Genomic DNA, 25,112 nt, shown 5'->3' with positions numbered 1-25,112 from the left:
GGGCTCCCCAGACCCCCCTGGGCAGGAACCCCAGGATTGTTTCTGGAAAACCCTTGCAACACCTTCTCGTCCAACTGCCTGCCCTTCCCTTTTTATTATTTCTTTCCTTCCAGAGATATTTACTGTCCTGCTATGTGGCGGGCACTGTTTCAGTCCCAGGCGCAGGGACGCAAAGGTGGGCAGGCTGCACCGGGTCGCCTGCCCTCTTGAAGCCCTTCTTGTACCTAATGGGGATTCTGCGGCCCAGAGAGTCTGAGTGACTGGCCCAGGGTCACACAGCCCCAGAGGCAAAGCCAGCTGGAACTTGGGGGCGGGGGTGTCCGGGTTGGTTCAGGGAGCCTGGGGAGGGGAGCTCTCCGGAGGGGTCCCCCACCCCTCACACCCCCAGGCTTGCTCCCCAGTGCAGCTCCACCGGCTGCGGTCAGGAGGAGGGGAGGGGATCAGAGGGGGCGCGGTATTTCCAGCCTCCATGACTCACTGATTCCACTGGGCTATTTGCAGCCCCGACACTCATTGGCGCGAGGTTGGGGGAGGAGCCAGCCTGGCTCCCCCTCCCACGCCCCCCACCCGGGGTCAGGCTCACCTTGGCGTACGGATCTCAGCGAGCCCTCCCTCGGCCGGCCGGTGCTGGGAAAGGGGGCAGCTTCCCAAGTGGTCAGTGGGGCCGAAAACCACCCCCAGCCCCCAGCAGCCCCCTCCCCAGACAGCAGTTTGCGAGGATGAGGACTGCTCAGGGGACCAAGCGGCCGCTGGGCCGCTGGGGCACGTCGGGTCTGAAGGAGCCCTTGGCCGCCAGCCCGGCCAAGGTGACCCTGCGGTAGGGGAGGGCGGGTCGGCCGCGGGGCTTTCGCCGGCTCCGCCCCCTGGGCGCCCAGACTGGCCGCGGCGCTTTGTCTCCCAGCGCCCCCAACCCCCTTCCAGGCTAAATATAGGCCTGGCTGCAGGCCCTGCGCCCCGCCCCCACCCGGAAGAGTAATTATAGCCGCCCCATTCATTGAGCAACTAGTGTGTGCCAGGCGCGCCGCTGATTCCCACAAGAGTCCTGCAAAGCAGGTACTATGATTAACGGTGTGCCTAGAAGGACACGGAGGATCAGCGAGGTCAGGCAACTGGCCCAAGGTCACCCAGCCTGGAAGTGGCACGGTTGGGATGTGAATCCTTGCTATGGCTCTGGAAGGCCATCTGCTGGGTCAACCTGGATCAGTCGCCACCACCAATGGGCTGAGGCAGCTTCCCTCCTCCCACCCTGGCAGCCCCCACAGGGAAAGGGGGCTCTCGCGTCTTGTAGCTTTGGGGGTGGGCCTGGGCAGCAGGTAGGGGAAATTGAAAAGACGCAGCTCTCTGGGGCTGGAGACCTGTGAGAAAGTCCAGGTCAGGTAGTACCAGAGACTGGGAGGGGCAGAGAGGACCTAGAAGGTTTCCTCACTTTGAAGGCCTAGCAGAGGCCAAAGGCCTCCTCCTCCAGGAAGCCCTCCAGAGCCAGAGCACAAAGAGCCCAGGCAGATGTTCAGAGCCCCTTCCCAAACCCTGTCTTCAAAGTCAGATGGAAGTAGCGCATGCTCAGGAGCCTGAGGTGAGAGGATCTCTTGAGCCCAAGGTTTAGAGACCAGCCTGGGCAACATGGCAAGAACCCGTCTCTACACAAAATACGAAAATTAGCTGGTATGGTGACGTGCACCTGTGGTCCCAGCTAGTCGGGAGGCTGAAGTGGGAGGATGGCTGGAGTCCAGGAGATGGAGGCTTCAGCGAGCCGTGATCGCACCACCGCACTCTATCTTGGGTGACACAGTGAGACCCTGACTCAAATAAAATAAAAAATGACCGGGTGTGGTGGCTCACTCCTGCATTCCCAGCACTTTGGGAGGCTGAAGAGGGTGGATTGCCTGAGCTCAATAAATACAAAGTATTTATTTGAAATCAGCCTGGACAACATGGCAAAACTGCATCTCCACAAAAAATGCAAAAATTAACAGGGTATGGTAGCACATGCCTGTAGTTCCAGCTACTTGGGGGTTGAGGCTGGAGGACTTGCTTGAGCACTGGTGGTTGAGGCTGCAGTGAGCCATGTTTGAGCCACTACACTTCAGCCTGGGCAATAGAGTGAGAACCTGTCTCAAAAAAAAAAGAAAAAGAAAAAAAAAGTGACCTTTTGTATTTGACATCTTTCACCTCGCATAATGTTTTCGAGATTCATCTATATTGTAGCATGGACCAATAATCTTTTCCTTTTTAAGGCTGAAACATATTCTGTTGCATGGCTAGGTCACAATTTGCTTACCTTTTCATCAGTTGATGGATGCTTGGGTTTGGTTCCACCCTTTGGTTTTGGTGACTAGTGCTGCTCTGTGCACTCGTGCAGATTTTCTTTTTTTTCTTTTTGAGACAGAGTTTCACTCTTGTCACCCAGGCTGGAGTGCAATGGCGCGATCTCGGCTCACTACAACCTCCGTCTCCTGGGTTCAAGCGATTCTCCTGCCTTAGCCTCCTGAGTAGATGGGATTACAGGCGTGCACCACCATGCCTGGCTAATTTTATATTTTTAGTAGAGACGGGGTTTCACCATGTTGGCCAGGCTGGTCTGGAACTCCTGACCTCAGGTGATCCACCCACCTTGGCCTCCCAAAGTGCTGGGATTACACCGGCCACTGCACGCCTGGCCATTTGTGCAGATTTTCACATGGACGAATGTTTTCACTTCTCTTGAGTATATATCTAGGAGCAGAATTGCTGGGTCCTCTGAAAGCTCCATGTTTGTTTGAGGAACTGCCAGACTGTTTCCCAAAGTGGCTGTACCATTTTACATTCTCACTGATGATTTTACTTAATTCATGGTTAATGAAGGAACCAGTAAGATGTCACAAGCAGTTCAAAGAAGGAGGCAAAGAACAGATGATATCTGTAGGTCAGGGAATATTGAAATGAATGTGCACAGAGGTAACACTGGCTTCTTCCACAGTTGGGAAGGAGAGTCCACTGGACTTGAACAGGACAGGACAGAATCTGCTTGTCTGTAGACAAGAAGTATGTTGCATTCCTACGGGCTACTTACAATAGACAGAGTTGTAAAATAGCTCAAAGGCAAAGAAAAATGCTCACCCCCTTGAGAATCAGACGATGCGTAGATGGTATTGGATATGTTTTGTGATCTTTTTTGCATATTCCAAGTTTTTCACACCTCTGTCACCTTGGGCCTAAAGGAAATAATGTATACAGTGGTCCATTTCCAAAACAAAGTGGCTTGAATAGGTTTGAGTCCGCAAACTACAGAAGAACAGAATATACTAGGCCCCTGCTTTGATAGCCGGCGCCTGCTTGTCGGGGCCCGCTTAGTTGCCCTCACCCAAACCAAAAAAGTTGAGTCTAGAATGAAAGTTCACTAGCCTGCAAAATAGCTCGCTTTGTCTATTCTTATCAGCTTGCCTGACTACCTAGGTCATAAGTCAGATACTTAAGAAAACCCTAAGCTGGCTATGATTGCAATGTATTGTGGGCTGCAACAAAATGCAACAAGAAAATCCTAAAGAAAACACCTAAAAGCTCCTACCCAACAACCAATAGGCGACATCCAGGAAGATTGTGATCCTACAGTACTCAGCCTATGAGGAACCAGGGGAGGGACCTGCGCACTAGGGGATAAATTGCTTGTTGTAACTGTGCTGGGTGTGCCTGCCCACCAGACACCCGATCTCGTAAGACCATCATTAAAAGTCTCTCTTCCACTGTTCTATGTGCCTCTGAGCCCATTCTTTGGGTTTGGACAGGTAAGTTGGTTTCTCACAGGCCTGATGACCTGGTCTCACACCTCACCTTCCCAGAGCAACTTCATCACCAACCTATATACCAATGCAGCCCCATTGCCAGCCTCAACCTCTGACCAGAGCTCCAATGGGGAATGGGTCACCACCTGCCCACATCCCCTCCGGCATGTCCCACAGTCCCTCACACGACATCCGCCTCCTGAACCTGTCATCTCCCCATGTCCCCACTGGCTACTCCGCCTGTGTGCTCCATCTCAGCGAGGGCCCTACCACCCATTCAGTCTCCGGACACTCCCCACATGCTGCCGGGTGCCAGGCTGGATCATTCTTCACTCACTTATTGAACCGCTGTGACCAGTGTGTTCACAGCACAGTATGGGGCTGCAAGCGCAGTGCGCAGTCACATTGCCTGAGGTTTGGATTTGGGCTCTACCGGTTTCCAGTTAGTGACCTTGGGCAAAGTATTCGACCTTTCTGTGCCTCAGTTTCCTCTGTAAAATGGCAAGAGAAATCATGCCGACCTCACATGACTGGGGTCAGGTGAACTGATGGGGTGTGGGGTGTATATTCAATTGCCCCGTAATGACGACAGCTATAGTAACTGACGACATCAATAGTAATGATGACAGCTCCCTTTACGGAGCAAGTATAAGTGGTATAAGTGCCTGGTTCCTCTGAATCCTCACCAAGACCCCCCAGGGTTCAATTCTGAAATGTCACTTTGCTGGGTGCCTGGCATAAAGTAAACATTCATTATTCTGGATGAAAGGAGTATTGGTTAGAATGAGTCTGGCTTCTGAAAAACAGACCCACTGGTTGGCTGGCCCCAAGGCTTTAGTCCCAGACCCAGCAGGTCCACACCTTCCCTGTCCAGGCCTGGACCCAGTGTCCTCTAGTCTGATGAGAGGGCGACACCTGCTGGTGAAAAGCCGGATGTGCAGCCACAGGTCTCCTTTCTCCTTGAGGGTCTCAAACTCCCTCTGCAGCCTTGTCCTTGGGGCCTTCAGGAGAGTAGAATGGGCATATGTCGACCAGATTGTACTGCGTCCTCCTCTCTAGTCCAAACCATTGCTCTCCTTTCTCAGGATTAAGACTCAGCCTCCGGTGCCTCCTCCCTGCAGTCAGAAGGCCCGGAGGGATCCTTTCCAAAGGTACGTCTGGCCATGACGCTGTCTGCTCACAATTTCCAGTGCTGCCATCTGGGAATAAGATCTAAGATCTAAAGGTCTTGTTGCAGCCTGCCAGGCCTCACCTGATGCAGCTTCTGCCACTTTTCTTTTCTTTTTACTTTTTTGGTTTTTTTTTGAGACAGTCTTGCTCTTGCTCTGTCACCCAGGCCGGAGTGCAGTGGCGAGATCTCGGCTCACTGCAACCTCTGCCTTCTAGGTTCAAGCAATTCTCTCACCTCAGCTTCCCAAGTAGCTGGGATTATAGGTGCCCACCACCACGCCCAGCTAATTTTTATATTTTTAGTAGAGACGGGTTTTCGCCAAGTTGGCCAGGCTGGTCTCGAACTCCTGACCTCAGGTGATCTCCCCCCGCCTCCCCCTCCTTGGCCTCCCAAAGTGCTGGGATTACAGGCATGAGCCACCGCGCCTGGCCTCCTGCCACCTTTCTGATCTGTTTGTTTTGTGTGTGTGCATTGCCTGTCTCCCCCAACTAGAGGATAAACTATTTTGTGGCTGGGCCTCATTGTCTTATTCATTGCTCCATCTCATGGTTTAGCCCAAAGCCTGGCATTCAGTGGATGCCCAATAAATACTTGGTGAATAAATGAATGAATGACAATTACCCTAGCCAGACTGAACGACTGGTCCTTCTGCCCAGAGCACTCCCCACTTGCTCCCCCACCCCACCCTTTTGTATAGCTTAGTCACCGGTCAGATCTCATTTTCGGCATCACTTCCTGCAGGAAGTCCTCCCTGATCTCCTCTCTCTAGAGTGGGCTGGTTGTCCTCCAGCATCATTCTGTGTTGCCCTTACTGTTGCACTTCTCAGAAGCTATGGCAATTGTGTGCTTTCTTTCTGGCCTCCCCCACCTGGCTGTGAGCTCCTTGAGGACAGGGTTACATTTATCCTCTGTGTGTCCCCTCTGCCTAGAAGAGACGCTACCAGGATGAGAGGGTATATACCTTACAGTTACAAGCAAGAATATGGGCACCAGACTTGCCTGAGTTCTAATCTCAATGGTACCAGTCTATGGAACTTTGAGTCCATTCTTCAACCTCTCTGTGCCTCAGCTCTCTAATCTATAAAATGGTCACAAATACAGTGCCCATGTTGTTTCTCTGACACAGAGTAAATGGTCAATTACATGTTAAATGTTAGCAGCTAGTATTTGTAGGAACCTAGTAAAATAGTCATTGAATAAATTAATGACCAGATACGGTGGCTCACACCTATAATCCAAGCACTTAGGGAAGCTGAAGCGGGAGGATAGCTTGAGGCCAGGAGTTCAAGACCAGCCTGGGCAGCACAGTGAGACCTCTTCTCTACTAAAAGAAGTCAAGCTGGGCGTAGTGGTGCACCTATAGTCTCAGCTACTCGGGAGGCTGAGGCAGGAGGATCACTTGAGCCCAGGAGTTTGAGGCTGCAGTGAGCTGTGATTGTTCCACTGCACTCCAGCCTGGGTGATAGAGTGAGACTCTGTCTCTAAAATAAATACAGAAAAACCCAGTGATTTTTATCTGGGAGCTTTGAGACTGACTTCCTTAAATAGGTTGCTTTAGGGTTTCTCACAGTGCTGTGCATGCCTTAGACTCACAGACACCTTCACACCCACACCAGTAACTCCACCTCCTGCTCAGGGAACACGATTGCCCTGAGGGGTGAACCTCCTCCCCCCACCTTTTTTTTTTTTTTTTGCTATCCCTAGAGGGCAGCATGAGCCTGGTATGCAGTAGATGCTCAATAAATAACATGTCTTGTTTTCATTCGTTCAAACATGATACTCTATTTTTGAGTACCTCCCTCCCTTTTGAGAAGCCAGATCCCCTTATTTCCCATCTCAGATCCCCAGGTCCCACCTGGGCTGCCTTATGGGATGGAGTCTCCTGGAGCCAACTTCCCTGAGCCTCCCAGCCCCAACTGGCATGGCCCTCGAGTCTCCCCACGTGGTATCCCCTGCCTTTGCAGTGACCTACACACTCGCCTCTGAGCCAAGATGGCAGCAAGAAACCCGTTGCCCCTCCCCGTCATGCTGGGGCATTCTGACCACTGCTCTGGCCTGCCCTGGGGTAAGATGACAGCAGGTGGCCCTGGGGAGGGTGGATTTTCTCAGGGCTGGCCCCTTCTCATCTTTTAGATCACACTTTGTTGCCTGCGCAGAGAGGCCCTTACCAAGCACTGCATCAGGAAAGGTCTTCACCCCAATCACTCTCCCTCTAGCATCCTGTTTCAGTTCCTGCAGAGCATTCATCGCTGTTCAAAATCATCTTCTTTATTTATTGGGTTACTTTATTTATTCAGGGTGGGTTCCCTCCACCCCAAAAATACCAGCTCCAGGAAAACCATGGTATCTCCCCAGCACTTTGCAGGGCCTGGCATGTGGAAGATGTACCAGTAATATTTGCTGTATGAATGAATGAGTCTCTTCATGTGCAGGTGACTTATCCTGCCTCTGCCACTCGACGGATGTTTCAGATGCCCCTTAGCGGATCTAATGATGTTTCCTTGGCTCAAGCACAAAAGACTCCTGCTTAGCTGGGGAAGCAGGGCCAGGCCCTGGGAATTGCAGCCTCTGGGCATCAGAGCCCGGCCCTTCCAGCTAATCGGCCTGCCCACAGACACAAGAGGAGAGGGCTTTCAGTGAGTCCTTGACTGTTCCCCAAGTTGAAGACCTCACAGGCGCAGCCTTCACGGGTTTCCCCTTAGCCTCGGGAACCTCCTGGGGGCAGAGCGGGCTGACTGGGAAGGAAGCTGAGGCCACAGACCCTCTGCAGAGCGGCAGGGTGGCCCTGGCCTGGGCAAGGCATCCCCCACCCATGGGGGTCACCCGAGTCAGATGGGGCCAGTTTTCCCCACAGAACACGATGTAGGTCTTCATTGGTGGGGTGACAAGCCCTCGATTGGGACTGGGGGCTTGGGGTGGTGATGCGGTTGCTGCCAGGGAGAGCTGCTTCCCGTGGGTGCAGTCAATAACAAAAGTCAGGTGAGCCGTGGGGACGGTCTTCTGATGGCCAGCCAGCTTCCCACCTAGAAGAGAGGAAAAGACCAAAAGTTAGCACAAGCAGGGGACTTTTCTTTTCCCCTGAGACAGGGTCTCACTCTGTCGCCCAGGCTGGAGGTCATGGCTCACTGCAGCCTCAGCCTCAGGGGGCTCAACCAATCCTCCCATCTCAGCCCCCTAAGTAGCTGGGACTACAGGCTCATGCCACCATGCCTGGTGAATTTTAAAATTTTTTGTAGAGATGAGGTTTCCCTATGTTGCCCAGGCTGGTCTCAAACTCCTGGACTCAAGAAATCCTTCTGCCTCAGCCCAATCAGTACTGGAATTGCAGGCGTGAGCCACTGCACCCGACTGGGACATGGTTTCCTGAATTCATTTGTTTATTCATTCGATAGGGTTCAACTGGATTGGTTGATACACCAACAGAGGAGGACAGTCAGGGTTTAAGTGTATGGACTTCAGCATCAGAGAGACCTGAGTTCAAGTCTCCACTTACCATCCATCCATCTGCCTTCCAGGAACACAGAGTCCAACATGTCAGTGCCTCCCAACTTTGCTGTTCCCATGAGCTGCCTGGGGAGCTTGTTAAAATGCAGAGTCTGGTGCAGTGGGGCTGGGGTGGGGCCTGAGACTCGCGTTTCTAACAAGTCCCCAGGGGATGCCAATTCTGCTGGTCCATGGACCATATTATGAAAAGCACAGTCCTCAACCCCAGAGAGGAAAGCCCTGGCCATCTTTCCAGGTGAGGAAACTGAGGCTCAGCCTGCACAAGTGTTGGTGGGTCTCAGGGAGCATCTTGCTACTCTCCCCCTCCCCAGATAATCTTGTCCACAGCCTCAGAGAATCCCATCAGTACCTGGTGGCATTTGCCCTGGCAATCCCCCCGCTCAGAGCCCAGCACAGGGTAGAGGGATGGACAAACCAGCCAATAGACTTATCAATGAAGCAGGTGTCTGAGCAATTGTATCTGAATCCAAAGCCTGTGCTCTTAAAAAGGTAACTTTTTGAGTTACCCAAATAACATACACATCCATTCTCTTAGCTACGTGCTGTGAAACACGACGTGGGCTCAGAAGGAAGCTTATGTTCTAGTAGGTTGGCTAGCACAGGAAATAAAACGAGCCCGCCCTTGGCTGGAGAATCCCAGCAACCCAAGGGAGGTAGCATGTTTGCCATCAGACCCCCACCCACCCCCAGCTGGTCTTGCTTTTTTTTTTTTTTTTTTTTTTTTGAGATGGAGTCTCACACTGTTGCTCAGGCTGGAGTGCAGTGGTGCGATCTCAGCTCACTGCAACCTCCGCCTCCTGGGTTCAAGCGATTCTCCTGCCTCAACCTCCTGAGTAGCTGGGATTATAGGCACCCGCCACCACACCCAGCTAATTTTTTGTATTTTTAGCAGATATGGGGTTTCACTATGTTGGCCAAGCTGGTCTCGAACTCCTGACCTCATGATCTGCCCGCTTCGGCCTCCCAAAGTGCTGGGATTACAGGCATGAGGCACCGCACCTGGCCCCCAGCTGGTGTTTCTGTGGGGCTGGGGTCCCTTTGCCGCCTCTTACCGGAGCTGGTCTCCAGGCCTGTCTCACGGATGGTGCCTTTGAGGTTGGCTCTCCAGTCCCTGGGGTCTTCTGACGGGGCCATGCGGCTACTTCGGCGCCTGCCTAGCTCTGGCAGGAGAGGAGCTGTCCTAGGCCACTCTTCCAGGATGTGGCTCCCCCACTGCGGGACCAGACCTTTTATACTGACCGGATCCGGATTCTCTGAGTGCATTCCACCAGGAGCCAAAGGAACTGGCCCAGAGCAGTCAGGGGATCGCTTTGATCAACAGGGTTATGTCAACAGGATTATTGTTGGCTCAATGGGAGGCAGGCCTCCTACCAAACAGACCAAACAGACACTATTTCTACCAAGCGCAGCTGCTTCCTGATTTAGGGTAGGCCTCTGGAACCTTCTCATCCAGCCTCAGTTTCCCAAACCTCAGTCATTATCCAGTGGTTCCACCAGTTTGGCTTTTTCCCCTGTCTAGGAACTATACGTAATGCTACTTAATTCACATGTCCTTGAAGTCAGCCAACTGTTTTTACTGAAAAAGAAGTGCACTTGGCCGGGCGCGGTGGCTCATGCCTGTAATCCCAGCACTTTGGGATGCCAAGACGGGTGGATCACAAGGTCAGAAGATCAAGACCATCCTGGCTAACACGGTGAAACCCCGTCTCTACTAAAAATACAAAAAATTAGCCGGGCGAGGTGGCGGGCACCTGTACTCCCAGCTACTCCGGAGGTTGAGGCAGGAGAATGGCGTGAACACGGGAGGTGGAGCTTGCAGTGAGCCGAGTTTGCGCCACTGCACTCCAGCCTGAGTGACAGAACGAGATTCCATCTCAAAAGAAAAAAGAAAAAAAAAGAAAGAAAGAAAGAGAGAGAGAGAAGTGCACTTTATTTATTTATTTGTTTATTTATTTTGAGACTGAGTTTCGCTCTTCTTGCCCAGGCTGGAGTGCAATGGCACAATCTCAGCTCACTGAAACCTCCACCTCCCAGGTTCAAGTGATTCTCCTGCCTCAACCTCCCGAGTAGCTGGGATTACAGGCATGCACCACCACACCCGGCTAATTTTGTATTTTTAATAGACACAGGGTTTCTCCGTGTTGGTCAGGCTGGTCTCGAACTCCTGACCTCAGGTGATCTGCTTGCCTTGGCCTCCCAAAGTGCTGGGATTACAGGTGTGAGCCACTGCGCCTGGCCAGAAGTGCACTTTATTTTAATTTTATTATTATTATTATATTTTGAGATGGAGTCTTGCTCTGTTGCCCAGGCTGAAGCGCAGTGGTGTGATCTCAGCTCACTGCAACCTCTGCCTCCTGGGTTCCAGTGATTCTCCTGTGTAAACCACCTAAGTAGCTGGAACTACAGGCGTGTGCCACCACACCTGGCTAATTTTTGTATTTTTTTTTTTTTTTTTTTTTTTTTAGTAGAGATAAGGTTTCATCATGTTGGCCAGGCTGGTCTCAAACTCCTGACCTCAAGTGATCTGCTTGCCTCACCCTCTCAAAGTACTGGGATTACAGGTGTGAGCCTCCGCACCTAACCTATTTTATTTTATATCTGCTACTGGCCCAGATGAAAGAAATGCACTTTAAAAGGAAATTTGGTATTGCTATATTAAATAGAAACAGTATCACTTCCAGAAATAAGAGGTACCTATGCCTGGTAGCCAAGTTGGCCGCCAAAGATGTCCACGCCTTAATCCCCAAAGCCTGTGAATATATTACCTTATTTGGCAAAAGGGACTTTGCAGATGTGATTAAGAGTTTGAATTTTGAGAAAAGGAAATTATTCTGGATTACGTGGGTGAGCTCAATCTAATCACATGAGTCCTTAAAATCGGAGAACCTCGCCGGGCGTGGTGGCTCACGCCTGTAATCCTAGCACTTTGGGAGGCCGAGGAGGGTGGATCACCTGAGGTCAGGAGTTCGAGACCAGCCTGGCCAACATGGCAAAACCCCGTCTCTACTAAAAATACAAAAATTAGCTGGGCGTGGCGGCACACGCCTGTAATCCCAGCTACTCAGGAGGCTGAGGAAGGAGAATCGCTTGAACCTGGGAGGTGGATGTTGCAATGAGCCAAGATTGCACCCCTGCACTCCAGCCTGTGTGATGGGAGCGAGACTCCATCTCAAAAAAAAAAAAAAAAATCGGAGAACCTTTTCTGGCTGGATTAGAGAGATGTGATAACGGAAGAAGGCCAGAGAGATATGAAGTGAGGACTCAACCCTCCCTTGCTGGCTTTGGAGGCGGAGGACGGGGTCCTGAGCCAAGGTATGCCAGTAGCCTCTAGAAGCTGCGAAAGGCAAAGAAAGGGATCCTTCCCTGGAAATTCCAAGAAGAAACCTTCCTGCCAACACCTTGATTTTAACGCAGTGAGACCCACGTTGAACTTCTGACCTATAGAGAAAAAATTTGTGTTGCTTTAAACTCCTAAATTCTGATAATTTATTTAGTATCAATAAAATACTAATACACTATGCAAATAACAAAGAAAATTTTAAAAATTAAATTTTAGCTAAATTTTGTTGCCTGTGTTACATGACTTAAAAAGTAACTGGGTTATTTATATCTTACTACAATGTCTTGCTTCCTTCAGGGTCTCACTGTTGCCCAGGCTGGAGTACAGTGGCACAGTCATGGCTCATTGCAGCCTCGACCTCCCGGCCTCATGCAATCCTCCCACCTCAGCCTCCTGATTAGCTGGGACTACAGGCTCATGCCACCTCACCTGGTTAATTTTTTAAAAAACCTTTTGTAGAGATGGAGGGTCTCACTGTGCTGCCCAGGCTGGTCTCGAACTCTTGGCTTCAAGCAATCCTCCCATCTCGGCCTCTCAAAGTGCTGAGATTATAGGTGTGAGCCACCATGCCTGGCCTACAGTTTTTTTTTTTCTTTGAGACGGAGTTTTGCTCTTGTCGCTCAGGCTGGAGTGCAATGGTGCAATCTCGGCTCACTCCAACCTGCAACCTCCGATTCCCAGGTTCAAGCGATTCTCCTGACTCAGCCTCCCGAGTAGCTGGGATTACAGGTGCCTGCCACCACGCCCAGCTAATTTTTGTATGTTTAGTAGAGATGGAGTTTCACCATGCCGGCCAGGCTGGTCTCCAACTCCTGACTTCAGGAGATACTCCTGCCTTGACCTCCCAAAGTGCTGGAATTACAGGCGTAAGCCGCTGAGCCTGGCCCCACAATTTTTTTAAAGAAGTAACTGGACACGCGTGATAGCAGGCACCTCTGATACCATAGGACAAGAAGGGTACTTTATGTCTGTGGTCTCCTACCCCAAAATTCCTAACGCCAGTCTAAATATGAGAAAAACATTGGATAAATCCAAACTGAGGAACATTCCATAAAATACATGTACAATCCCCAAACTCTCAAGATCATGAAAAACAATGGGAGACAAAAACTGTCACAGACCAGAAGAGACTAAACAGACATGAAAACTTGCTACAGTGGAGGTATCCTGAATTGCATCTTGAAAAGGGCACTGCAGAAATACTGGTGAAATCTGAATAAAGCCTGGAGTTTAGACGCTAATAATGTACTGATGTTGCTTTCTTAGTTTCGACAAACATTCTATGGTCATGTAACGTGTTGACAATAGGGGAAATTGGATGTGGTGTATACAGCTCTGTACAACCGTTGCAGCTTTTCAATACATTGGAAATTGTTCTAAAATTTACAAATTATTATTGGCCAGGCACGGTAGTTCACGCCTGTAATCCCAGCACTTTGGGAGGCCGAGGCAGGTGGGTCACTTGAGCCCAGGAGTTCTAGGTGAGCCTGGGCAACATGGTGAAACTCCATCTCTACTAAACATACAAAAATTAGCCAGGCTTGGTGGTGCGTGCCACAGTGCACAGCGCACAGCCATAGCTCACTGGAGCCTCAAACTCCTGAGCTCAAGCCATCCTCCTGCCTCAGCCTCCCAAGTAGCTAGGAATACAGGTTCATGCAACTATGTCCAGCTAATTTTAAAAGTTTTTGTAGAGATAGGGTCTCACTATGTTGCCCCGGCTTAAAAATTATTATTATTATTATTATTTTTTGAGATGGAGTCACACTCTCTCACCCAGGCTGGAGTGCAGTGGCGCAATCTCGGCTCACTGCAACCTCTGCCTCCTGGGTTCAAGCGATTCTCCTGCCTCAGCCTCCTCAGTAGCTGGGATTATGGGCGCACGCCACTACGCCTGACTAATTTTTGTTTATTTTTAGTAGAGACAGGGTTTCACCATGTTGGTCAGGCTGGTCTCGAACTCCTGACCTTGTGCTTAGTCTGCCTTTGCCTCCCAAAGTGCTGGGATTACAGGCATGAGCCATCGCACCCAGTCAAAAATTATTTTTTAAACTGCACATAGTGGCTCATGCCTGCAGTCCCAGCACATTGGGAGGCCGAGGCAGGAGGAGCACTTGAAGTCAGAAGTTCCTTGCCAGCCTGGGCAACATGGCAAGACCCAGTCTTCACAAAGACTGAGTGGCTTGGCCCTGGTGCAGTCACATAGGTCCCTGCTAGCTGAGCTGAAATTAAAACCCATTCAGGGCAGGGCGCAGTGGCTCATACCTGTAATCCCAACACTTTGGGAGGCCAAGCCAGGTGGATCACCTGAGGTCAGGAGTTCGAGACCAGCCTGACCAACATGGAGAAACCCCGTCTCTACTAAAAATACAAAATTAGCCGGGTGTGGTGGCACATGCCTGTAATCCCAGCTACTCGGGAGGCTGAGGCAGGAGAATCACTTGAACCCGGGAGGCACAGGTTGCAGTGAGCCAAGATCGCACAATTGCACTCCAGCCTGGGCAACAAGAGCAAAACTCTGTTCAAAAATAAATAAATAAATAAATAAAACCCATTCAGTCTGACTCCTGCGTGGCTCATCGGGCCTGTGGACTGGACTCTCCTTTTCCCTCCACACCCCCATCTGAGCAAATTCAGTCCACGAGCAAATCATGCAGGTGGCACCTTCACAATGATCCTGAGGTGACACTTCTCACCACCTGCCTTCTCCCACCTAGTTTGAGCACCCTTCATCACTTACCTGGACTAACCAACTGGTCCCCCTCTTCTCCCCAAAGGTGTGATGTGGCCTATTAACGCCCGAGCCACAGCTGAACCCTTCTCTGCCCAGGACCCTCTGCTGGCTCCCCAGCTGCTCTGAGTAATAGCTAGAGCTTTGCAGCAGCCGCAGGCCTTTGAAGCTGGGACTTCTCTCCCTGAACTGCCTGCTGCTCTCCCCTGCTCACACCAGGCTGGATGCAAACTTCTTCTCTGGGTCTCAAGCGTACCGATCACGCTCCTGCCTCAGGGCCTTTGCACGAGCCATTCCCGCTGCCCGGAATGCTCTCTGGCCAGATAGCTGCTTGGCTGACCCATCACCTCCTACAAACCTTGCTCAGACCTTGCCTTGAACTCTTGGCTTCAAGTGATCCTCCCGTCTCGACCTCTCAAAGTGCTGAGATTATAGGTATGAGCCACTGTGCCTGGCCCACATTTTTTTTTCTTTTTTCTTTGAGACAGAGTTTTGCTCTTGTCGCTCTTGTCTCTTGGCCATGCATCTAGAGGGCGTCCAGCACAGAGTATGTGCTCAATACACAGGTGAAGAAGGACAATCCACGAGACAGCTGTCCCTCTCCCAGGACCCTGGGAAATGCTGGGGATGGGGAAGATGTTCAGATGTCAAGAGGAATAGGGTCTAGTGTCTGGGCTCTCATTTGAGTGCTCTTCCTGTTCACAGGAGTGGATGGGCTGCACAGTTGGAGCAAAACCGAGATGAGTTTTAAGGGCCACTGAGCATCTTCCCCACTGGCAGTCTTTCCCAGTGTCCTGGGAGATGCACAGCTGTTTCCTGTGTTGTCCTGGATCCCTAGAAGATGGGCCAGGCTTGGAGGTAGAAGGAGAGCTCAGAGGGGAGGGGGCAGAGAAGGGACTGCCCAGATGTGACACATCTGGAGTCTTCAAATCTGCACCAGGACAGATGAGTAGAGCTGCATTTTTCCACCCTGCTCATGTTGGCCTTTTGTGAACTTTGTTTCTGCCCTGTCTGCATTGCCCTTAGGTATTCACTGCAACTAGTTATCACTGGAATAAAAATGGCCATAGGCATTCTGCCCTTCCTTCACCTCTCTCTTCTCCATCCCTTCCTTCTTCCTTCTTCACCTGTGTATTGAGCACATACTCTGTGCTGGACGCCCTCTAGACGCATGGCCAGGGTTGTCCTCATTGATGAGGCAAGATCTGAGCAAGGTTTGTAGGAGGTGATGGGTCAGCCAAGCAGATATCTGGGCAGGGAGCATTCCGGGCAGTGGGAATGGCTTGTGCAAAGGCCCTGAGGCAGGAGCATGATTGATATGCTTCAGGCCCAGAGGGGAGGTCTGCATCTGACCTGGTGTGAGCAGGGAAGAGCGGCAGGCAGCTCAGGAAGAGAAGTCCCAGGTTCAATGACCTGAGGGCATTGCAAGGCTTTAGTTCTCACTCAGAGGAGCTGGGGAGCCATTGTGCAGTGCAAGAGCCAAACTGAATGGGTTCCAATTTCAGCTCAGCTAGCAGGGAGCTATGTGACTGCACCAGGGCTGAGCCAACCCACCTGTGCATGAGTGACAGCACCTCACGGGTTCCAGAGCTCGCATGTCCATGGTCCAGCTTAGTGCGTGGCACGCCAAGAATACTTGAGAAATGGCAGCTAAGGACTGTCGCCTCAGGAGGGTCTCTTCTCATTTCCAAAGCTGTCTTCTGCTTGATGAAATGCACACAGACACTGGGCAAGTATGTGTTGAGCTTCTAATCTCTCCCAGACACCGGAGACTCAGCCATAGACTGGCCGAGTTCCCTGCCCTTGTGCTGCACTCCCCTTGAGGAGACAGATGATGGGGACATGTAAGGAGCTAAGACATCCTGAGCTGGGAAGGAGGGAAGCAGGGGCTAAGGGATGGAGGCAGCTGGTGGGGGCAGGTGGGGGTGGCAGGGATGCCTGGAGCCTGGGACTGGGGCCGGACTCTGCACTGCTCTGCTTGAGGACCTAGCTGGGCTCTGACTCATGAGGGCAGACAGTGGCCAGGGTGAGGCTGGCGCAGTGCAGCCCCTTCCCCACTGCTGAAGACGCTGCCTTTGTGGGGTGGTAGCACAGGCTTTGGGGAGTTGAGAGCCATCCTCATCCTAGAGGTGGTTGTTTCTGGAAGCAAAAATCCAGGGTTTATGCTCCTGGGACAGGGGAACCTTGGGGCCTCGCGTCCTCCCCATAACCTTCGCATTGGGCAGCAAAGGCATCTTCCTGTTGAGTCTGAGGGAGAGAGAAGTGGTGTCACTCGCGGTGTCAGCTTTCATCTCACAGTGGCCCTGTGAGGTAAGGACCATGATCAACCCAGTTTACAGATGAGGACACTGAGGCTCAGAGAAGTTACATGGTTTGTCCAAAGTGACACACTAAGTGGCTGAATGGGATTGAATCCAGGTCTCTCTGAGACAGCCCAAGCTGTTGATGGAACCCTCTGGCTCACGGATGAGCAGGTAAAGTGAACAAACACTTTAGAATGCTTATCTGGGGGTGGGGGTGCAGGGAATTGAGCCTTCTATGGGGCCCGGAAGATTTACAGTTGTCCCTCGGTGTGTGTAGGGGAATCAGTTTCACCACCTTCCACAAATACCAAAATCCACAGATGTTCAAGTCCTGATATAAAATGGTGCAGTATTTGCATATAGCCTAAGTACATCTTCCCGTAGACTTTAAATCATCTCTAGATTACTTATGCAATCACATGTCAGATAATGATATTTCAGTCCATGCCAGAATGCACATAGGATGGTGGTCCCATAAGATTATAATGGAACTGCCCTATACAGGTGCACCATCTCTAAAAATTGATATCTCAAAAGAGATGGGGTCTTTTTATATTGCCCAGACTAGTCTAGAAGTCCTGGGCTCAAGTGATCCTCCCAGCATGGCCTCCCAAAGTGCTGGGATTGTAGGTATGAACCACCATACTTGGCCAGGTGTACCATTTTTTATCATTTATACTGTATTTTTATGATCCTTTTCTGTGTTTAAATACACAAATAGCCACCATTGTTTTTGTTTGTTTGCTTGTTTGTTTGAGACAGAGTTTCACTCTTGTTGCCCAGGTTGGAGTGCAATGATGCGATCTCAGCTCACTGCAATCTCCGCCTCCCAGGTTCAAGCGATTCTCCTGCCTCAGCCTCCTGAGTATTTGGGATTACAGGTGCCCGTCACCATGCCCAGCAGATATCTGGGCAGCCATTTTTTGTATTTTTAGTAGAGACGGGGTTTCACCGCGTTGGCCAGGCTGGTCTCAATCTCTTAACCTCAGGTGATCCAGCCGCCTCGGCCTCCCAAAGTGCTGGGATTACAGGCATGAGCCACCATGCCCGGCCCACAAATAGCCGCCATTATGTTACCATTGCCTATAGTACTTAGTACAGTAACATGTTGCAGAGGTTTGGAACCCAGCAGCAACCAGCTCTACTATTCAGCCCAGGTGTGTGTTTGGCTGTAGCCTCTGGAGGAAGCTAAGGAGAAGTGACCTAAAGGCAGAGGGTGAGTCTGAGGTGGGATCCCAGGACAGGTACAAGAAGTTAGGCAAAAGAGGATGAAATCTGAAAAAATTTCACTATGTTAATATAATTACTGCGTTAATAACTTTAGATAATAGTTAACATTATTATTTAGTTAACAGGATTGCACCCAAGATAAATTAATTTTTTTAAAGAGATAAATTCTCATTCTGTCACCTAGGCTGGAGTGCAGTGGTGCGATCATAGCTCACTGCTTCCTGGAACTCTTGGGCTCGAGCAATCCTCCTGCCTCAGCCTCCTGATTAGGTGGGACTATAGGCACACGCCATCATGCCTGGCTATTTTTTTTTACTTTTCTCTAGAGGCAAGGCCTACCTGTGTTGCGCAGGCTGGTCTCAAACTCCTGGGCTCAAGTGAACCTGCCTCAACCTCTCAAATTGCTGGGATTACAGGTGTGAGCCACTACAGCCAGCCCACATTTCTTAGTTTGGACAAATGTGCCATGGTAATGCAAAATGTCATTACTAGGGGCAGCTGGGTATAAGGTGTAGAGTACACTACAGTGTCTTTTCAATTTTTCTGTGTATCTAGAATCATTTCAAAAGTAAACATTTATTTTAAAACGTGAAAGTGTTTATCCTTCCATGAGTGTAAAGTACAAAAGACAGGCTCATGGTGTCAACGGAAGTCAGGACACTGGTTGTGGGGCCGGGGGCGCTGGAGGGGCTGGCCATGGTTGGCTTTGTGATCTGGGGGCTGGTGTGTTCCATCTGTGAATGTCTTTCGAGCTGCACACTTACCAGGGATGTAAGTCATGTCTTAATACATTTTCTTAAGTTTAACACCAAATAAAATGAGAATGAAAAGCTTGTTTGGGTTGTGGGGATTCGGTTGTTTATCCAGTCATGAGCCCTGGCCTAGATGCTTCTAGAAGCCTGGAGGGAACTGAGAACATTCCAAGTAGAGGTGGCAGAGCCAAGGCCCTGAGGTGGGAACACACTGCTGCATGTCTCTAGCTGTGAATGGGGTCCCCTAGTCGGAAGCAGTGCTGTGTGCCCTGCAGGGCCAGCAGGTCCATGTCCACATTATGGGTCAGTGCAGTGAAAGCCAATCTCAGCCCCCTCCGCAGTGTGACCAGCCTGCCAGCAGGTGGCCAGCTGGTCCATCCCAGGGACTGGGTGCAAGTCTCTTGTCAATAGAGAGGGCGCTCAGCCATGGTGTCAGCCTAGTGAGCCTTGGTAAGGGCCCGTGCAGGATGCTGAACCTCTTCCGTCCCCATGACCGTCTCAAGACCACTTGCTCGGTGGGCGCATCCAGCAGGCGTGGTGGCCGGGAAAGAAGCAGGCTGCATCCATAGGGCGTGCCATTTTGCTCGACTCAGGACCCAGAGCATCCTCCGTAGTAATTCTCTTCGGTGGGAGCACTGGGAACTTGAGCCACAGATACCTTCCAAGTCTGAGCTGCTGAGGCGAGGGCTGCAGGGCGCCCTGCTGTCAGGAAAGCCTGCACCAGCAGCTGGAAGGCACGTGGTGGGGGCGCCTGCTGTGGCTCCAGCAGTGGCTGCGAGGCTTCGGGATCTCACCCAGCTTCTGCGAGGTGAATTGTGACAGTGCAGAGCTCCGCAGTGCCAGGGTCCCCTGCATGGTCATGCTCACTGCAGCTGGGAGCCCACCACACCCCTGGTGCCCCTCACTTCCCAGGGCTGGGGTCTAGTCCAGACCCCTCTTGGCTTGGGAATTGTGCCTTGGGAGGGGGACACTGTCCCACAGGTTGGGACAGAGGCCCCAGGCATGCTGCTGGCTGGCCGGGGCTGCGGGGATGCCATGCTCACCTTTCTCTCTCGTGGCCTTGATGGGACTGGCTTCCCCATTGAACGGGATTTTCCGAGGTGTCTGGGGCTGTGGTGCAGCTTGCGGGGTGCCACCCTGACCCCTTCCAGACTTGCCAGTCACTGACCACCGAGCGGGCCAGACACAGGTGCCACGCTGCAGTCGGGGTATCTCCCGACCTCCCTTTTAGTCCTGATGGGCCTGGGCAGGGCCTGGTTTCGGGGTCCCCATGGGCTTCCTGGGCTAGGCTGTCCCATGGTCCTGGGGCTGTCCAGGACACATTTGGAAGGGACTTGGACCCAGCAGCTCTGTTCAAAATCATAACGGGGGGCAACGAGGGCCCCCCACATCCAGGTTCATAGGGATGGAGCCGTGGCATGGAGTTCCACTGGAGGAACCTCCAGGAAACCTGAGGTTCCCCCTGAGCCAGGGCCAGGCTGGGCACACCCTCAGTCCCCGGTGCCCCCAGAGAATGGCCTGCTGCCCTAGGTTCCATGGAAGCCCCCTCGTGCCACTGGGCCTTGGCCTCACAGATAGTCCCATCAGGACAGGGTATGAAAGGACGAGGCACCCATGGAGGGGAAGCTGACCAAACGGGCCACCCATGGCGGGGAAGCTGGCCAAATGGGCCACTGGAACCGAGTTGTTGGGCCAGGAGGGGCCTGCCTGTCCCCCTGCCAGAGGGTCTTCCTGCCAGGTGAAGCCAGCCCAGGCCTGGGTGCCAAGGACCCTTGCTCAGGTTTGGCTGAAAGAAACAGACGTGGTCAGCATCTCCAGTGAGCCCACGCAGTCCTTTCTTGGCCGGGCTCCACCTGCCTGGGTCTCTGGAGTCCTCAGGGTCTCTGTGTAGCCCCTGTGGTCTGACACTGAGGACACACCTGCAGGCTGCTGATCGCAGACGGAGGGGTCTGTGCCTCCTGTGGTGGGAAGCTGTCGGGGTGCAGCAGGTGGCTCCTGGGACTGCCCTCCCCCAGAGTTCAGGCTGGCTGGGGGCTTCCTGCCCCATGCCGTCATCCCAGGACTGTTGAGCCTGGGATACAGCCTCCAGTCAGAACTCAGGTGGGAGGGGCCTTGGCTGTCACCCAGTCCCCTCGCCACCTCACATGGAGACCTGTTTCCACGGTGGGTGAGAGAGCCCAGATACAGAGCCCCCTCTGCCCTCCTGGGCTGCCCAGTCCATGCCAGGACTGACCGTTCCCACACCTGGCTGAACTCTTGGCTCTGGCTCTGGGCCAGGGGTCCCCCCTGTGCCCACCCACTAAACGCCCTGGTCGGGGATCAGGGACATAGATTCCCTTGTCTCTCTGGCTCAAGGCTTGTTGTCCTGGCACCCTTGGAGGGGTGTTCAGGAGTGAGGAGCCTCTGCTGCTCTCTGAGGCTGTCAGTGCTCGCAGGGAGGGGTGGGGAGTCCCATAGATGGATCTGGTTCCTCCAATGACCCTGAGGGCCCTTTGAAGGGGAGAGTGGGACATGGTGGAAAGTGGGAGGGGGCTTGTTGGAGAGTCTTGCGCACATCCCCCTCCTGCTTGCACAGCACGTCCGGTACACACAAACTGACCACCTGCCCTGAGGACCTGGGGGCCTATTGTACTTTCTTAGAGTCCGGAGGAAGAGGAGGAAGAAAAGGCGAAGAGGAAGGCCCAAGTAGTAGTGTTGGAGGTCCTGGGCACTCCCCAACTACTGACTGCCCCAGGGGGTGACTCGGGAGGGTACCTGGTGCTGCAGGCCACCTGGGGGTGGCAGGTCCCCAGGCTTCCTTGTTTCCTCATAGAGGCCCAAGGGTGTCTGAGAACTGCATCATCATCCAGGGCCCAGGTATGGGAAAACTGGTCCTGAAAACATGCCCACGGCCACACCTGGATATCTTCACGAGGTGCTCTAGGGACAGGGTAGGCATCAGGCTAGGAGTGTTCCCTGGGAGGGGTCAGAGCCCATACCCCGTTACTACCTCAGCATCTCCCACTGGGGAGTGCCGGATCCCTTTGTGGCCACCCCAGGGGTCCAGATGTGCACAGGAGGCTGTGGCTAGGGGGCAGCCTGAGCAGGGAAGTGCTCACCACACTCCTGACTTTCATCTGGGTCATGTAGGGGATGGGCTCCCACAGGAGGGGGTATGTCACTGTTCCCTGCCCAGCCTACCCAGCCAGACCTCCCTCTGGGCCAGAGAAGAGGATCATGGGGACAGTGTGAGGAAGCTGCCACCGGGCCAGTCAGGGTCTGACCCCTGTGCTCCCCAGTCCCCATTGGGCACACGTGGACTTACTCCTCTGAACCTTAAAGGCAGTGCGTGCCATTGGCGTCAACACCTGTTCCCCTTCTAGCAAATACACGTCCCAAAGGCTCAGGGTGAGCCCGAGAGAGATCTGTGGGGACAGCAGGTGTGGGAGGACCTGGCCCTTCCAGGCTGGGGGCTGGTGGCTCGAGCCGGGCCCACTGGGGCTTCAGTCCCCCAGTCACTGACCCTTCCCATGAGGGTCATCAGACCCCTTCAGGAGGCTGGGTCAGACAAGGTCTTGCAGCTCCTCATGGGGGAGCACTCATTTCAGTGGGGATGTGGCTTCTGGAGAGAGGGGCTTCCCCAGGACTTGAGGCTTCCTTGAGCCCTCCCAAGTGGGTCCTGGCCCAGTCTGCCCATGAGGCTGGGCCTGAGTCCCAGCCTCTGCCGTGGGATGACCCCTCTTGGGCAGAGGGCTTTGCTTGTGTGTCCTGCAGATATCTGCCTGTGCCTCCTATGTGCTGGGGGTGAACCGGACCCCTGGGCGAAGAGCAGGGCCCTGTAGGGCAAGGAGGGTCCCTGAGCCAGGGTCTCCCTGTGCCTCCTTACCCCATTGATCAAGCTCCAAAGCAACCAACCTAATGAGGAACCCTGAATGCATAGCCCTTCCTTGTCCTGATGGGAGGAACAGAGGTGCTCAGGTCCCTCTGGGCTGCCCTAAAAACCTCCCTCTTCCAGGGCCCTCTGAAGACCCTTCCCCAAGTGCAGAACACTGGGCGGTGTCCAGGGCTCCTTACACCTTCCCCTCCCTGCACTCCTGGTGGACACACTGTCCTTAGCCCTGCTCTGTGGGAACTGGCCCCAGTCCCTGTGCCTCTGTCTCCTCCAGGGCAGGAAAGGAAACCCAACTCCAAATCCATGGAGAACCCCACGTCCCAGGTCAGGCCCTGGCTAGAACTCACCCTCTCACCAGCCCCATGAGGGTCTGGCAGCCCCTGGCTCCTCCGGCCCCACAGGATGCAGGGCCACTGGGGAAGAGCTGGGGGGACCATAAACTCACTGCGTGCCTCATGGTCTTGGGGTATGGCCTGGGTGCCACATGCTCCTGGTGGTCTTGGAGGCCCTGGACCCTTGCGCTATTTGGGCTGTGGAATCCTGAGAAGCCCCCAGCCCATCATGAAATCAGCCTGCTCCCAAGATGTGGGACCATCAGCTGGAAGAGCTGGACAGCTGCAGAGGCCCCTGAACCCTGAGGTCTCCCACCCTCTCATCTGGGGACCCCACCATGCGGCCTTGGCCCTGGGGAGGAGGGGTGGGAATATCCCCTGGAGCCTGGCTGGAGGTGCTCCTGGAGGCCTCCTGGGCCAGGGTGCTGGGAGGGCAAGCCTGACTTTGAGGCCACGACAGAGGGCGGGTGCTGGGCTTCATGGTGGTCTCCTAGAAGTGGGGTCGGGCCAGGGGACACGGGATGGGGAGATGTTGCCATCAGGGCTTTTTCGGCCCATCTGTGGGTACCAAGGGCAGCTGGAGGGCAGGACCCTCAGGGAGGGGAGAGTCAACTGTACAGCATTCAGAGCCAGAGGGCGTTGCTCCAGGACACAGAGGGTGGCCACGGGGATGATGAGATGCCCTCTGCTGATGGGGGTGAGAGGCATCTGACTCAGGATCTGGGGGTCCCGGTTCAGCCCCAGGACCCTCAACAGAGACATCCTAAAGGCTCCAAACAAGCTGGCAACACAAGGAAGGTGCCTTCACGGAAAGTTGAGATCACCTGCCCAGGGTGGCCGTCCCCGGGTCTGGCTGCATGAGGCCCTGGGGGCAGCTGTCCACCCACCCTGCAGGGAGTGCCTCTCACCAGCCAGCATCTGGGCCAGTGCCCAGAATATGTCCTCCTCAGGCAGATAAAGGAGGAACAAGGCGGCGACGTGGCTCAGGTCCCTGCAGTAGTCTACCTCCTGAGAGAGCCAGAGTTATGGTGGAAAGACATCACCTGGGAGGGCTGAGGTCACCTGGGACGATTCATGTCATCGGAGAGGGCAGAGGTGACTGGGGAAACTTCCTTTGAAGAAGAGGCTTCCTCAGGATGCAAATTCATTTTGTGACAAGAGCCATGTCCATCAGGCATTTCAGCAATTTGTCCAAAATGTCTCCTGAGAGCACTTGTCCTGTGTGCGACACTGCCAAGCTTTGGAGCCCAGTGGATGCCCTTAGTTCCTGGATCCACAGAGACTTATGGAGCCTGTGCCTGGGGCTTTCTAGAGGTGGAGGCGGTGGGGTAGGGGGAAGGGCGGGAGAGGAGGCCTTGCATGGCATAGTGCAGGGCAGGAAGCCAGCCAGGGACCCGTTTGCAGTGACTGCTCCCATCCCCATGCTGACCTCCAAACCCACCCCTACCCCACCCTGGCGCAGGGTCGGGCCTGGGAAGGTGTCCTCTGCTTTGGCCTCAGCAGATCACAAGGAGGAAGCCAGCAGCCCGGTGGGTGCACCACTCGAGCCAATGGTGACCTACAACTTCTACTTCATGGAGCGTGGGGCACCCGCCCAGGAAAGCCCAGGCACACCCCACACCCCTGACCTTGAGGGCACAGGGAGGTGGGGGACCAAGGTCCTGCAGCCCTGTGCATGTGTCCTGAAAGGTGGTCTAGGAGTCCTGTGTGCACCTGTCCAGGGGGGCCCAGAAGCCTGAACAGTGGCAGGGAGGGAGAAAAGGAGGGAGAGAGAAGTGGAGAAGAAGGAGAGAGAAAGAGAGATGGGAAGAAGGGAGTGAGATCGAGAGAGAGGAAGAGAGATGGGGACAGAGACAGAGGAGGCTGAGAGGACGAGGGAGAGAGAGACACAAAAGGCAAAGAGAGAGACAGGGAGAGAGAGGTTCATGAGTAGGAGTTCGGGTCACTCTTGATGCCAGTTCCCAATGCAAACTTAGGTTGCTATCACCTAACCACACATGCAATAAAGTCTTCTGCCTGCTGCTTATAGCCCCCAAGAACCCCTTCTCCTGGAGAATAAAATCTTTTTTTTTTTTTTTTTTTTGAGACAGAGTCTCGCTCTGTTGCCCAGGGTGGAGTGC

The 25,112-nt window shown here is 53.2% G+C and overlaps 1 protein-coding gene and 1 pseudogene across 1 annotated transcript, besides 6 other annotated features; both read right to left on the bottom strand.

The window, feature by feature from the left end:
- Positions 363-622: a silencer, noted in NCBI's record as "silent region_322". NCBI's record gives its function as "represses an Ori minimal core promoter by ATAC-STARR-seq in GM12878 lymphoblastoid cells {active_cell/tissue: GM12878}" and the evidence as "EXISTENCE:reporter gene assay evidence [ECO:0000049][PMID:35858748]".
- Positions 773-982: a silencer, noted in NCBI's record as "silent region_321". NCBI's record gives its function as "represses an Ori minimal core promoter by ATAC-STARR-seq in GM12878 lymphoblastoid cells {active_cell/tissue: GM12878}" and the evidence as "EXISTENCE:reporter gene assay evidence [ECO:0000049][PMID:35858748]".
- SRARP (steroid receptor associated and regulated protein) lies at positions 5,064-9,635 on the bottom strand. The gene is made up of 2 exons (NM_178840.4): positions 9,486-9,635; positions 5,064-7,952 (listed from the first exon to the last, which is right to left on the bottom strand). The coding sequence occupies exons 1-2, from the start codon at positions 9,565-9,567 to the stop codon at positions 7,525-7,527; spliced, it is 510 nt and encodes a 169-aa protein (NP_849162.1). The 5' UTR covers positions 9,568-9,635; the 3' UTR covers positions 5,064-7,524.
- Positions 8,950-9,815: an enhancer, noted in NCBI's record as "NANOG-H3K4me1 hESC enhancer chr1:16330551-16331416 (GRCh37/hg19 assembly coordinates)". NCBI's record gives its function as "activates a minimal SCP1, AML or CMV promoter by ChIP-STARR-seq in primed H9 embryonic stem cells {active_cell/tissue: H9 hESC(primed)}" and the evidence as "EXISTENCE:reporter gene assay evidence [ECO:0000049][PMID:30033119]".
- On the bottom strand, positions 18,595-19,057 carry TBC1D3P6 (TBC1 domain family member 3 pseudogene 6; annotated as a pseudogene).
- Positions 19,079-19,228: a silencer, noted in NCBI's record as "silent region_320". NCBI's record gives its function as "represses an Ori minimal core promoter by ATAC-STARR-seq in GM12878 lymphoblastoid cells {active_cell/tissue: GM12878}" and the evidence as "EXISTENCE:reporter gene assay evidence [ECO:0000049][PMID:35858748]".
- Positions 19,079-19,975: a biological region, named in NCBI's record as "H3K4me1 hESC enhancer GRCh37_chr1:16320391-16321231".
- Positions 19,135-19,975: an enhancer, noted in NCBI's record as "H3K4me1 hESC enhancer chr1:16320391-16321231 (GRCh37/hg19 assembly coordinates)". NCBI's record gives its function as "activates a minimal SCP1, AML or CMV promoter by ChIP-STARR-seq in naive H9 embryonic stem cells {active_cell/tissue: H9 hESC(naive)}" and the evidence as "EXISTENCE:reporter gene assay evidence [ECO:0000049][PMID:30033119]".

This window comes from Homo sapiens, chromosome 1 (genome assembly GCF_000001405.40).
Source record: "Homo sapiens chromosome 1, GRCh38.p14 Primary Assembly".
NCBI lineage: Eukaryota > Metazoa > Chordata > Mammalia > Primates > Hominidae > Homo > Homo sapiens.
The sequence above is the reverse complement of the archived record's forward strand: the minus strand, read 5'-3'. Positions and strand labels throughout refer to the sequence as shown.

Bases quoted from the DNA above. Each gene is read 5' to 3' on its own strand.
- SRARP (NM_178840.4), bottom strand. From the start codon at position 9,567: ATGGCCCCGTCAGAAGACCCCAGGGACTGGAGAGCCAACCTCAAAGGC. The intron at 7,953-9,485 runs GTAAGAGGCGGC...CCTCTCTTCTAG, and splicing joins AGGCCTGGAGACCAGCTCCG to GTGGGAAGCTGGCTGGCCAT.